The sequence below is a fragment of the Homo sapiens genome, chromosome 20 (assembly GCF_000001405.40).
Source record: "Homo sapiens chromosome 20, GRCh38.p14 Primary Assembly".
Lineage (NCBI taxonomy): Eukaryota > Metazoa > Chordata > Mammalia > Primates > Hominidae > Homo > Homo sapiens.
The window spans coordinates 21,163,936-21,179,319 of record NC_000020.11 but is presented as its reverse complement, the minus strand read 5'-3'; the positions used below and the strand labels follow the sequence as shown (position 1 = coordinate 21,179,319).

Genomic DNA, 15,384 nt, shown 5'->3' with positions numbered 1-15,384 from the left:
AACATACACATACCAAGACTAATTAATAAAGAAATAGTCTGAACAGACCTAAAACTAGTAAGGAGACTGAATCAGTAATCAAAAACCTCCCATCAAAAAAAAAAAAAAAACAAAAAAACCCCAGGACCAGATAGCTTCACTGGTGAATTCTACCAGACATTTAAAGAATTAATGCCAATACTTCTCAAACTCTTCCAAAAAAACTGAAAAAAAGGGAATACTTCCAAACTTATTTTATTAGGCCCGCATTACCCTGATGCCAAACCCAGGCAAAGATACCACAAAAAAGAAAACTACAGACCAATATGCCTAATGAATATAGACACAAATATTGTCAACAAAATACTAACAAACCAAATTCAGCAGTACATTAAAAGAATCATAAATCATAACTAAGTGAGATGTTTATCCCTGGGATGCAAGAATGAATCAACATATAAAAATCAATGTGATACACCACAGTAACAGAATGAAAGATAAAAATCACATGACCATCTTAATAGACACAGAATAACTGTTTGACAAAATTCAACACCCCTTCCCAATAAAAACCTCTCAATAAACTAGACATAGGATGAAATTACCTCAGCTTAATAAAGGTCACATATATAAAGTTCACAGCTAATATCATACTCAATGGTGAAAGCTGAAAGCTTTTCCTTTGAGATCACGAACAAGACAAGGATGCCCACTCTTGCCACTTCTGTTTAATACAGTACTGAAAGCCCTAGCCAGAATAATTAGGCAAGGAAAAGAAATAAAAGCTATTCAAATCCAAGTAAAATTGTCCCTGTTGCAGATGACATGATATATAGAAAACTCTAAAGATCACATACACACACAGATGCATACTGTTAGAATTAATAAATGAATTCAGTAAAGTTGTAGGATACAAAATCAACATACAAAAATCAGTTGTGTTTCTATACACTAACAACAAACTGTCTGAATATGAAATTAGAAAAATATTTCCATTTACAATAGCACCAATAAGAATAAAATACTTAGAAATAAACTTAATTAAGGAGGTACAAGACTTCCATGCTAAAAACTACAAAACATTGATGACAGAAATTAAAGAAGATACAAGCAAATGGAAAGAATTCCATGTTCATGGATTATAAGATTTAATATTGTTAAAGTGTCCATACTACCAAAGCAATCTCCAGATTCTATGAAATTGCTATCAAAATTTCAATGGCATTTTTTTTCAGAAATAAAAAAACAAGACTAAAATTCATGTGGAATCACAAAAGACCCTGAACAGCCAAGACAATCTTGAGAAAGAAGAAAAAGCTGGAGGCATCACACGTCCTGATTTCAAAATATATTACAAAGCTACCATAATCAAAACAGTATGGTATTGGCATAAAGACAGACATATAGACCAATGGAACATTCAGAATAGAGAGCCCATAAATCAATCCATGCATATGCAGTCAACTGATCTTTGACAAGGGTATCAAGAATATATGATGAGGAAAGGACAGTCTTTTAACATACGGTATTGGGAGAAACTGGAAATCCATATGCAAAAGAATGAAACTGGACTCTCATACCACACAGAAAAATCAACTCAAAATGAATTAAGGATTTAAATATAAGACCTGAAGTTTTAAAACTCCTAGAAGAAAACATAGGGGAAAAGCTTCATAACATTGGCCTTGGCAAAGATTTCATGGATACGACACCAAAAGCACAGGCAACAAAAGCAAAAATAGACAAGTGGGACTACATCAAACTAAAAAGTTTCTGCATAGCAAAGGAAACAACTAACAGAGCAAAAAGGCAATCTACTGAATGAGAGAAAATATTTGCAAAACACATATAAGGGGTTAATTTCCCAAACATGTAAGGAACTCCAACAGTTCAACAGCAAAAAAACTAATAACCTGATTAAAATACGGGCTAAAGACCTGAATAAACATTTCTTCAACGTCTCCATAAAACATATAAATGGCCAAGAGGTATATGAAAAGATGCTCATCACTAATCATCAGGGAAATGCAAATCAAAACCATAGAAAAATTTCAGTTCATACGACTATTCACAAAAAGAACAAAAGATAACAAGCACTGGCAAAGATGTAGAGAAACTGGAACTCTAGTACACTGTTGGTGGGAGTGTAAAATAGAAAACAGTACAGAGATTCCTCAAAAAATTAAAACTAGAATTACCATTTGATCCAATAATCTCACTTTTGGGTATTTATCCAAAATAATTGAAATAAGGATCTCAAAGAAGTATTAGCACTCCAGTGTTCATCACAGCACTATTCGCAATAGCGAAGATCTAGAAACCACCAAAATGTTCATCAATGGATGAATGGACAAAGAAAATACACGTACAATGAAATATTATTCTGCCTTAAAAAGGAAGGAAATTTTGACACACATCTTGACATGGATGAATTCTGAAGACAACATGCTAAGTGAAATAAGCTAGACATAATTTCTCTACCAAGTCCAATCTACTGATAAGCCCACCAAAGGCATTCTTTATTTCTGTTACAGAGTTTAATTCTAGCATTACTTTTTTATTCTTTATTATAATTTCCATCTTTCTGTTTACATTACCTATCCTTTCTTGCACGTTGTCCTCTTTTTCCTTTAGAGCTCTAGAGCCCTAGAGCCCTAGCATATTAATCAGTTATTTTAAATTCCTAGTCTGAAAAATCCAACATCTGCCATATCTGAGTCTGGCTCTGATGCTTGCTCTGTCTATTCAAACTGTATTTTTTTTTTTTTTTTGCCTTTTTTGTGCCTTGTAATGTTTTTTGTTGAAAGCCAGGCATGATGTACTAGGTAAATAGTCCTTTAGGGTGAACAGGTACACAGGCCTTCAAGCTGAGGTTTTATGTTCATCTGGTTAGAAGTTAGGCTGTGTTTATTGTCTGTTGCAGCTGCAAATGTAGGTATCAGAGGCTAAACTTTCCTTGGGTGTCCTTGTTTTTGTCTCCTTCCCTTGTCTTCAGCTTTCCGGATTGATTGATTGATTGATTGACTGATTTGAGACAGAGTCTCACTCTCTCACTGAGGATAGGGTGCAGTGGTGCGATCTTGGCTCACTGCAACCTCTGCCTCCCAGGTTCAGGCAATTCTTGTGCCTCAGCCTCTCAAGTAGCTGGAATTACAGGCACCCGCCACCACACCCAGCTAATTTTTGTATTTTTAGTAGAGACAGGGTTTTGCACTGTTGGCCAGGCTGGTCTTGAACTCCTGACCTCAGGTGATCCACTTGTCTTGGCCTCCCAAAGTGCTGAGATTATAGGCGTGAGCCACCGTGCCCAGCCTCCATTTTTTTTCAGACAGGGTCTCACTCCGTTGCTCAGGCTGGAGTGCAGTGGCACCATCTCAGCTCACAGCAACCTCCACCTCCTGCATTTAAGTGATTCTCCCAACTCAGCCTCCTGAGTAGCTGGGAATACAGGCGTGTGCCACCATGACTGGCTAATTTTTGTATTTTTTGGTAGAGACCAGCTTTCACCATATTGGTCAGGCTGGTCTCAAACTCCTGACCACAAGTGATATGCCTGCCTCAGCCTCCCAAAGTGTTGGGGATTATAGGCATGAGTGAGCCACCATGCCTGGCCTCCTAGAGACTTAACTAAGGTCTGAGACATGTGGTTCATTCAGTTGTATAATTGTTTCCTGCTACTATACAGGATCCCTATTGATGTGGTGGCAAGGTATGGGGGAGGGGAAGCCTTTTATGGTACTTGGATTAGGTTTCAGTCTTCTGGTGACCTGGGCTGTGACCTTCACCAAGTGCTTCTCAGTTCCTATCTAACTCCTGCCTTTGCTCCATGTCACTCATGTTCTTCTGACTGAGGCTAGAATCCCATATGGTGAGATGGCTGGCAAAGGATGGAGACCTGGGTTCATTCCTGTTGGCCAATGGAGACTTCTTTTAATATCTCCTATACACCAAGTGACAATGGCTGTGACTACGATTATTGCCTACTTTGCTGAGGATCAGGTCTCAGGACTATTCCCTTCTTAGTAGGTTTGGATTTTTACAAATTTAGACCAAAATAAGGATAATGAAAGTCTTAGATTTTTCAGAAACTAGGTGAGCTAACAGGAAAAGCAAAGGCAAGATTAGAATGAAGTGACAGGTAGAAAACAAAGGGAATACCCTGACGGCCACATCTACTGCCACTGGGTTATTTTTCCAGAAGTATAATGCATAGCCTTACTTTGGGAACAAAGGACAGAATCTGTGTGGTGGCAAGAAAAGGCTCAGGGGCCACCAGTATTGAGGTGCCAAAGGTCATGTTCAAGAGAAACAGGCAACTGTGCTGATGAAAACAGACAGCTGAGAACAGACATCTGAAGGCATCATCACATCTGAAGGAATGCTGAATTTCTAAATATGCTTCCAGCTCCTTATAAAGTGAATTCAGGGTAAATTCTAAATGAACATAGTTCAAACCTATTATTCCAGGCACATGACTTTCAGCAACAAATTTTTCTCAGATGCAATAACTTATTTCCTACACTTAACTTTGAAGAGGAGCTAAATTAAAATCACTGGATGGGATTCAATCTGTGTGATCACATTTTTATGACCTTGAGAAACCAAGGCTTTCATGTGACTTAGTTTAAAAGGCAGCATTACATTCTGTTTTCAGTCACACTCCAGGAGGAGACAGAACAAAGCAACTTTGCAAGTACTTTGTTCAAGCCTGAATAAAGGCACATAGCACTTCATTGGCCTATTTGAGGTTGGAAAGCACAAAAATCAATATGGACGGAGTAAGAGGTCAAATTGCCACTGCTTAGTTTTCTTTTCTTTTTTCTTTTTCTAATTAAAGAATTTAATTTGCTTTTTGAGCTTCCTATTTAACCTTATAAAATATTATCTTTGATGATACTCCAACTATCCAGGTAGTAAAGATTCACTGGGAGACAGCATAGGGTACCAGTTAACTCTGGTCACAGAGGGCCAGTTTGGAGCACACACAGCTGTTTTATGACTTTCAATATGTTACATAACTCCCTGTGCCTCAGTTTTCTCATCTGTAAAATGATGATGATAATAGGATTAAATGATTATAAATAAAGGTGTTAAAACAGTGCCTGGCACGGAGTCAGTACTAACAACCATTTTGGTTGTGATTTGGGTGGTGGAAAACAGAAATTAAGAGCATGCATTCTGGCATCAGACTGTTAGTTTAGACCCTAGCTGCACCTCTGTGACCTGAGCAGGTTATTTAAGCTTTCTAAACCTCATGTGAAACATTCTACTTGGCACCTGCAGCACAACACCCTCCTGGTTCTCCTCGTTCTTCCCTGCAGCGTCTTCTGAGACTCCTTTGCTGGTTCCTTCTGATCTTCCTGACCCTGAATGTGGAGTCATGCCCTGGGCCACTTTCCTATTTACATTCACTCTCTAGTGTTCTTCTTAGGCCCATGGCTTTAAAATGTATTTATACCCTGATGATTTACAAATGTATTTATCTAGCCCTGACCTCTCTCTGAATTCCAAGTTCATGAAATCCATCTGCCTACTCAGCATCTCCCTGTGAACGTCAAAAAGGCATCTCAAATCTAACATACCCAAAACTTCTGTCTTGATTTTCTTTCCTTCAAGTCTGTGCCTCCTACATGTTCCTTATCTCAATAAATAACTCACTCTGTCCCCAAACCCTTGAGTCATCCTTCTACTCCCTTTCTCTTATAACCCACACCCAATCCATAAAGAATCCAGCTGGTTCTTTCTTTTTTTTTTTTTTTTTTTGAGACGGCATCTCCCTCTGTTGCCCAGGCTGGAGTCCAGTGGCACAATCTTGGCTCACTGCAACCTCCACTTCCCAGGTTCAAGCAATTCTCCTGGCTCAGCCTCCCAAGTAGCTGGGATTACAGGCACCCGCCACCACACCCAGCTAATTTTTATATTTTTAGTAGAGATGGGGTTTCACCATGTTGGCCAGGCTGGTCTTGAACTCCTGACCTCAAGTGATCAACCCATCTTGGCCTCCCAAAGTGTTGGGATTACAGGCATGAGCCACCACACCCAGCCCTCCAGCTGGTTCTTTTATATAAAAATATATCCAGAATCTGACCACTTCTTACCACCCTACTGCTGCCACCACAGTCCAAAGCAACAGCACCTCTCTGCAGGATCTCTGCTATATTATCCAAACAGCACTCCCTGCTGCCACTCTTTCCCCAACTTGATTTTCCATAAGTGGCCAGAGTGATTCTTCATTTCAATTGAAGTTCAACCCAAAGTCCTTCCTTCAGCCTACTGACCCTTCACAACGTGGCACACTGATACTCTCTCACTCCAGCTTCTCCCGTCTCCCCAACACCTGTTCGGATTCAGGTGCACCAGCCACTTTGCTGTTCCAGGAAACACTCAGTATGCCCCCACTGCATGGCCTCTGTACTGTGGTTCCCTTTGCCTAGCATGCTCTTTCTCAAGACATATCCCATCCCTCTCCCATCTCTCTCCCAGAGGAGAGAAGAAGTATAAACTAAGAGACAAACACATAAACCAGTCTAAAAGATGACAAAGAACAGATGAGGTTAAGTGGATAGAGAAGGCATGGGCACAGCTGAATGTGGCTTACCAACTCTCCCACTTCAGGTCCTACTCAACTACCATCTTACCATAGAGACCTTTCCCCACTATCTTATATCTTGTATTAAACTGCACCCATGCCTTCTCTATCTACTTAACCTGCTTATTCTTCATCATAATACTTTTTTTTTTTGAGACAGAGTCTCTCTTTGTCACCCAGGCTGGAGTGCAGTGGCACAATCTCAGCCCACTGCAGTCTCAACCTCCTGGGTTTAAGTGATCCTCCTGCCTCACCCTCCCCAAATAGCTCAAGCGTGCGCCACCACACCTGGCTAATTTTTTTGCATCTTTTGTAGAGACGAGGTTTCACCACGTTGCCCAGGCTGGTCTCGAACTCCTAAGCGCAAACAATCCATTCGCCTCAGCCTCCTAAAGTGCTAGGATTACACGTTAGTCACCGTGCCTGGCCCTTTGTCATAATACTTTTCACACAGATTGTTTACTGGTTTATATTTCCTTCCTCTTCTCCACATGCATGATCATAAGTACCATAAAGCAAGAACAATACCCGGCACAGAGCAGGTGTTCCATATTTAATGTTAAATGAATGTACCCCTTTTCTCGTTATCTATAGACTAATAAAAAACTACCTCAAAACTTAGTAGCTTAAAACAACCACCAAGTCATTACATCTCATGCTTTTGTGGATTAGGAAAGCAGGCAAGGAGTGGCTGGGTGATTCTTCTGTTTCACATATTATCAAGAGAGGGCATTTAGTGATATTTAGCCTCTGGATGGATTTGTCTGGAGAGTCCAAGAAGGCTTCACCTATATGTCCAGCACCTTGGTGGGGACGACTGGAAGGATAAGGCTCAGCAAGGACTATGGACTGGGGCACCTACACATAATTTCTTCAGCACAGCTGCCTAGAATGATCAGACTTTCAATATGGTGGCTTGTGGTTCCCATAGTGAGAGTTCCAGCTAATAGGGTAGACACTGCAAGGCCTTTTATGTATAACTCAACCTCGAAAGTCATATAGCAAAAGGTCGGGCATGGTGGCTCATGCCTGTAATCCCAGCACTTTGGGAGGCCAAGGTGGGTGGATCACCTAAGGACAGGACTCTGAGACTGGCCTGGCCAACATGGTGAAACCCTATCTCTACTAAAAATACAAAATTAGCTGGGTGTGGTGGCACGCGCCTGTAATCCCAGCTACTCAAGAGGGTGAGGTGGCAGGATCACCTGAGCTTGGGGAGGTCGAGGCTGCAGTGGGCCATGATCACACCACTGCATTCCAGCCTGGGCAACAGAGTGTGACCCTGTCACAAACAAACAAACAAAATACATTTAAAAAATAAAATTTAAAACTTCTGCTCTGTAAAAGACACTGTTCAAAGGAAAAGACAAACCATAGATTGGGCGAAAATATCTGCAAGACACACTATCCCCCTGATAAAGGACTGATATCCAAAATGTAGAAAGAGCTATTAAAACTCAACAATAAGAAAACTAACTGAAATAAAAATGGGTGACAGATCTGAACAGACATCTCATCAAAGAAGATACACAGGTGGCAGATAAGCATATGAAAAGATGTTCAACATCATATGTCATTAGAGAACTGCAAATTAAAACAATTGCATACCACTAAACACCTTTTAGAATGGCTAAAATTTTAAAATGACAATACCAAATGCTGACAAGATGTAGAACAAGAACTCTCATTCATTGCTAGTGATAATGCAAAATGGCACAGCCACTTTGGAAGACGATGGTTCAGCAGTTTCTTACAAAGGTAACCATAGACTTACCTATTTAGCCATAGAAAAGAATGAGATCCTGTCATTTACAACAACATAGATGGAACTGGAGGTCATTACGTTAAGTGATTTAAGCCAGGCACAGAAAGACAAACTTTGCATGTTCTCATTTATTTGGGGGAGCTAAAAATTAAAACAATTGAACTCATGGAGACAGAGAGTAGAAAGATAGTTACCAGAGGCTGGGAAGTGTAGTGGAGTTCGGGGGCGGAGAGAAGTGGGGATGGTTAACGGATACAAAAAGATAAGTTAGAAAGAACGAATAAGATCTAGTATTTGATGGCCGGGCGTGGTGGCTCACGCCTGTAATCCCAGCACTTTGGGAGGCTGAGGCGGGCAGATCACGAGGTCAGGAGATCGAGATTATCCTGGCTAACACGGTGAAACCCCATCTCTACTAAAAATACAAAAAATTAGCCAGGCATGGTGGCGTGTGCCTGTAGTCCCAGCTACTCGGGAGGCTGAGGCAGGAGAATGGCGTGAACCCAGGAAGGGGAGCTTGCAGTGAGCTGAGATCGTGCCACTGCACTCCAGCCTGGGCGACAGAGAGAGACTCCGTCTCAAAAAAAAAAAAAAAGATCTAGTATTTGGTATTTGATAGCACAAAAGGATGACTATAGTAAATAATAATTTAATTGTACATTTAAAAATAACCAAAAGAGTATAACTGGATTGTTTATAACACAAAGGATAAATGCTTGAGGAGATGGATATCCCATTTACCATGAAGTGATTATTATACATTGCATGCTTGTATTAAAATATTTCATGTACCCTATAAATAGATACATATACCTACTATGTATCTACAAAAATTTAAAATTTAAAAACTAAATAACCCCATACCAAAAACAGACTTACACATGATCCATCAATGACACTCCTTGGTATTTACCCAAATAAGTTGAAAACATGTCCACACAAAAACCTGCACAGAGATATTTATGGCAGCTTTATTCACAATTGGCAAAACCCAGAAGCCACCAAGATGTTCTTCAGTAGGTGAATGGATAAACTCTGGTACCTCCAGACAATGGAGTATTATTCAGTGCTAAAAATAAATAAGCTATGAAGCCATAAAAAGACATGGAATAACCTTAAATATACATTACTAAGTGAAAAAAGCCAACCTGATAATACTACTTGTTATGTAATTCCCACTACTTGACATTCTGGAAAAGACAAGACACTAAAAAGATCAGTACTTGCAAGGGGTTCAGGTGGGGTTAAAGGAAGAGGGGTGAGTAGATGGAGCACAGGTCATTTTCAAGTAGAGAAACTATTTTTTTGGGTTGGTTCCAAGTCTTTGCTGTTATGAATAGTGCCGCAACAAACATACGTCTGCATGTGTCTTTATAGCAGCATGATTTATAATCCTTTGGGTATATACCCAGTAATGGGATAGCTGGGTCAAATGGTATTTCTAGTTCTAGATCCCTGAGGAATCGCCACACTGACTTCCACAATGGTTGAACTAGTTTACACTCCCATCAATAGTGTAAAAGTGTTCCTATTTCTCCACATCCTCTCCAGCACCTGTTGTTTCCTGACTTTTTAATGATCGCCATTCTAACTGGTGTGAGATGGTATCTCATTGTGGTTTTGATTTGCATTTCTCTGATGGCCAGTGATGATGAACATTTTTTCATGTGTCTTTTGGCTGCATAAATGTCTTCTTTTGAGAAGTGTCTGTTCATATCCTTTGCCCACTTTTTGATGGGGTTTTTTTTTCTTGTAAATTTGTTGGAGTTCATTGTAGATTCTGGATATTAGCCCTTTGTCAGATGAGTAGGTTGCAAAAATTTTCTCCCATGCTGTAGGTTGCCTGTTCACTCTGATGGTTGTTTCTTTTGCTGTGCAGAAGCTCTTTAGTTTAATTAGATCCCATTTGTCAATTTTGGCTTTTGTTGCCATTGCTTTTGGTGTTTTAGACATGAAGTCCTTGCCCATGCCTATGGCCTGAATGGTATTGCCTAGGTTTTCTTCTAGGGTTTTTATGGTTTTAGGTCTAATGTTTAAGTCTTTAATCCATCTTGAATTAATTTTTGTATAAGGTGTAAGGAAGGCATCCAGTTTCAGCTTTCTACCTATGACTAGCCAGTTTTCCCAGCACCATTTATTAAATAGGGGATCCTTTCCCCATTGCTTGTTTTTGTCAGGTTTGTCAAAGATCAGATGGTTGTAGATATGCAGCATCATTTCTGAGGGCTCTTTTCTGTTCCATTGGTCTATATCTCTGTTTTGGTACCAGTACCATGCTGTTTTGGTTACTGTAGCCTTGTAGTATAGTTTGAAGTCAGGTAGCGTGATGCCTCCAGCTTTGTTCTTTTGGCTTAGGATTGACTTGGCGATGCGGGCTCTCTTTTGGTTCTATATGAACTTTAAAGTAGTTTTTTCCAATTCTGTGAAGAAAGTCATTGGTAGCTTGATGGGGATGGCATTGAATCTATAAATTACCCTGGGCAGTATGGCCATTTTCACGATATTGATTCTTCCTACCCATGAGCATGGAATGTTCTTCCATTTGTTTGTATCCTCTTTTATTTCACTGAGCAGTGGTTTGTAGTTCTCCTTGAAGAGGTCCTTCACATCTCTTGTAAGTTGGAACCAATCCAAATGTAACTTGGAACCAACCCAAATGTCCAACAATGACAGACTGGATTAAGAAAATGTGGCACATATACACCATGGAATACTATGCAGCCATAAAAAATGATGAGTTCATGTCCTTTGTAGGGACATGGATGAAACTGCAAACCATCATTCTCAGCAAATTATCGCAAGGACAAAAAACCAAACACCGCATGTTCTCACTCATAGGTGGGAATTGAACAATGAGAACACATGGACACAGGAAGGGGAGCATCACACACCGGGGCCTGTTGTGGGGTAGGGGAGTGGGGAGGGATAGCATTTGGAGATATACCTAATGTTAAATGACGAGTTACTGGGTGAAGCACAACAACATGGCACATGTATACATATGTAACTAACCTGCATGTTGTGCACATGTACCCTAAAACTTAAAGTATAATAATAAAAAAAAGAAACTATTTTTTAATGGTACTTTAAAGGTGGATACATATCATTATGCATTGATATATAAAACAAAGTAGGCCAGGCGCAGTGGCTCACGTCTGTAATCCCAGCACTTTGAAGGCAGGCAAATCTCCTGAGGTTAGGAGTTTGAGAACAGCCTGGCCAACATGGTAAAACCCCATCTCTATTAAAAATACAAAATTAGTTGGATGTGCTGGCACATGCCTGTAATCCCAGCTACTTGGGAGACTGAGGCATGAGACTAGCTTGCACCCGGGAGGTGGAGGTTGCAGTGAGCCGAGATCGTGCCATTGTACTCCAGCCTGGGCGACAAGAGTGAAACTCCATCTCAAAAAAAAAAAAAAAAAAAGCGAAACAAACAAAAAACCCACTAGCATGAGAAACTGCTTGTTGGTTAATGTAGATAGCCACAACCACTTTTAGAGTCCCTAGCAGTCTATAATGTTCCACTACTGCTTACCTGAGTGTGAAAATGCACTTGCTCAGATGGTGAAGGTATAAGGGGAGGGGAAGCACAGGTTACCTTGGCTGCTGAATCACTCACTCAGCTACTTTGTTACCATGTGTTCCCACAAGGAACCCTGAACATGTCCAATTCAGCCTGTTCCCAGTCATTATGGGTAGACACTTCTATCCATGCAATCCTTGCTTCCAATTCTTCAACTGAGTTGTATGAATTTTCTTATTGCTGTATCACAAATTGCCACAAATTTATGATTTCATAGTTCCCATGAGACAGAAGTCTGGATCTGGGTTAGTGGGGTCATCTGCTCAAGGTCTCACCAGGCTGAAATTAAGGTGTCTGCTGGAGATGCAGTCTCATCTAAGGCTCAGGGACTTCTTCCACACTCACTGGTTATTGGCAGAATCAATTTCCTTGTGGCTGTAGGACTGAGGCCCTTAGCCCCTAGAGGCTGCATGCCATTTCCTGTCATGTGGTCTTTCCCACAAGATGACAGTTTGCTTCTTCAGGAAACAAGAGAGTATCTTAGCTGCTTTAAATCTCTCTGGCTTCAGGCTGGGCGTGGTGGCTCACGCCTCTAATCCCAGCACTTTGGGAGGACAAGGTGGGCAAATCACTTGAGGTCAGCAGTTCAAGACCAGCCTGGCCAACATAGTGAAACCGGGTCTCTACTAAAAATACAAAAATTGGCCAGGTGCGGTGGCTCACGCTTGTAATCCCAACACTTTGGGAAGCTGAGGCAGGCAGATCACCTGAGGTAGGGAGTACAAGACCAGCCTGACCAACATGGAGAAACCAAGTCTCTCCAAAAAAAAAAAAAAATACAAAAGCTCTTTCCGCACCGCCACAATGGTGCGCATGAATGTCCTGGCAGATGCTCTCAAGACCATCAACAATGCCGAAAAGAGAGGCAAACGCCAGGTGCTTATTAGGCCGTGCTCCAAAGTCATCGTCCGGTTTCTCATTGTGATGATGAAGCATGGTTACACTGGCGAATTTGAAATCATTGATGACCACAGAGCTGGGAAATTGTTGTGAACCTCACAGGCAGGCTAAACAAGTGTGGAGTGATCAGCTCCAGATTTGACGTGCAACTCAAAGACCTGGAAAAATGGCAGAATAATCTGCTTCCATCCTGCCAGTTGGTTTCATTGTACTGACAACCTCAGCTGGCATCATGGACCATGAAGAAGCAAGACGAAAACACACAGGAGGGAAAATCCTGGAATTCTTTTTCTAGGGATGTAATACATATATTTACAAATAAAATGCCTCATGGACAAAAAAAAAAAAAAAATACAAAATACAAAAATTAGCCAAGCATGGCGGCACATGCCTGTAATCCCAGCTACTCAGGAGGCTGAGGCAGGAGAATTGCTTGAACCCAGGAGGTGGAGGTTGCAGTGAGCCGAGGTTGCGCCATTGCACTCCAGCCTGGGCAACAAGAGCAAAACTCCATCTCAAAACAAAAACAAAAACAAAATTAGCCAGGCCTGATGGCGGGCACCTGTAGTCCCAGCTATTTGTAAGGCTGAGGCAGAATAGCTTGAACCCAGGAGGCAAAGGTTGCAGCGAGCTGAGGTTGTGCCACTGGCTTCAGTAAGGGCCAGTCTCTTTTAAAGTCTCATCTGATTAGGTCAGGTCCACCTTGGATAATTTTCATTTGACTAGCTGAAGGGCAACTGATTTGGGACCTTCATTATATCTGCAAAATCCTTCATCTTTGTCACATGACAGCTTCATCACAGGAGTAAAATCCATCAGACTCCCAGTCCTGCCCACTCTCAAGGCAAGGGAATGGACAACAGGGAGCGGGAATCTCAGGGCCATCTACACTTCTGCCTACCACATGGATGATTAATCCTAATGAACTAATGCTGTCAGGTTAATCCTCCTAAATCAAGCCTCATCACACTGTCCTTCTCCTAAAATAACCTTCAACAGCTCTACAAAGCATAGAGTGAACTCTAAATTCATTAACCTGATATTCCAGGCCTTTCTCAACCTCACCCTAGGTGACATTTTGAACCTTAACTCCAAAAGGCCCTCCTCACCCATGGGGTCCTTTGCTCTGCCCCTCCCATGTCCTCTGTGTTCTCTGCTCCGCATTCCTTCTTGCATTTTCCTCCAGACCCTATTTGCTCTTTCCCTCCTCTTTCTCCTTCAAAGCCTATACAGACTTCAGGATGTTGCGCAGATTTTACATTCTGGATCATATGCTCCTATGTGTCCTCCTTTGTCCCATTTATGCATCTTTGCTAATTAAATTCATTCAAGTGATTTTTCTCCAGGCCCCCAACAGACCCTAAAGTCAATTGAAATATTGAACTGTTTAGGTTATAGTGCTAGCTCTATAAATATGATGCTATGCTATGGTCTCAGACCAATAACCCTCAGAGCAAAGGAGAAGAGCGCCAGTTAAACAATAAATTAAGAAAATGTGGGGCCTCAAATGCAGTGGTGATGTCAGCAAGTTAACTAGCATCATTTAAAACCACCTTCAACCTATTCCTGGAGAATATTTTTACCCAGAAAATCAGTAGGCTCAAATTTGATAATACAGACACAGAAACAACCACTGCTGACTGACATTTTCATTCTGGGGGCATTTTATTAAGAGAAATACTCAAAATTCCCCACATGCCCATATTTTCCAATAAATACTGGAAAACTATATGCCAAAACTCCAAGGAGCTTGACTTTATGCCTCCAAGATCATTAAAAAAAAAAAAGTCATTCGAATGGAGACAGGATGAACATTCTTGACTCTTAGAGAAATGTTTAGTAGGAATTCATACACATACTCAATTTTTTTCACCTCAGAAAAAGACTGAGTCCTGGGTAAGTGTATTAGTCCCCTTGTTAGCCTACCAAAGTACTAACTTGTCCACCATGCCATAAAAATAAGCCCACAAACACAAAACTAGAGATAGATAACATTCTACCTCCAGTAATAAAGTTTCTGATGATGTAATATGTATTACCTGTGCCTCTTTGATGAGAGAAGTATTATTACTAGAAAAATCCATTTGGCTTGCCTCTCCAATAAATCAAATTTCCCAATGACAGGAACCATGTCGGTTCTTCCATCCATAGTGCAAGAACTCTGTACTTGGATATGCTCTTAATAAATATTTCCTGAACATCAGTTTGGATACAATCTATCAATTAAAGCCTATTCATAAACTTTTCACCATAAGTAGACAATGAATGGTAAGAGGCAATATATTAAAAGGTACAATGGTGTTCTAAAGAGAACATATGCCGTACAAAAAGGCCCACTTGGCTTTTCACTGCTGCCAGCTTTGTGGAAATGAAAGGGTGACCAGCATTACGGTGTAACAGAAAATTCTGGGGGTGGGGCAGTGGTGTGACATTCAGGCAGACAGGCTGTGGGGTGTTCTGCCCCAGCAGATCCAGTAGACCTACGTGACACCACTCTGCCCCGGCCTTCGTTTCCTCATTTGTAAAAGGTGAGATCTACCTTAGGTTGTTTACTTAGGTTCCTTC

At 40.9% G+C, this 15,384-nt stretch overlaps 1 protein-coding gene and 1 pseudogene across 14 annotated transcripts in view; one reads left to right on the top strand and one right to left on the bottom strand.

Moving 5' to 3' along the window:
- KIZ (kizuna centrosomal protein) overlaps positions 1 to 15,384 on the bottom strand; it is a 120,648-nt gene that overhangs the window by 67,303 nt on the left and 37,961 nt on the right. The window lies entirely within an intron of this gene.
- RPS15AP1 (ribosomal protein S15a pseudogene 1) lies at positions 12,706 to 13,155 on the top strand (annotated as a pseudogene).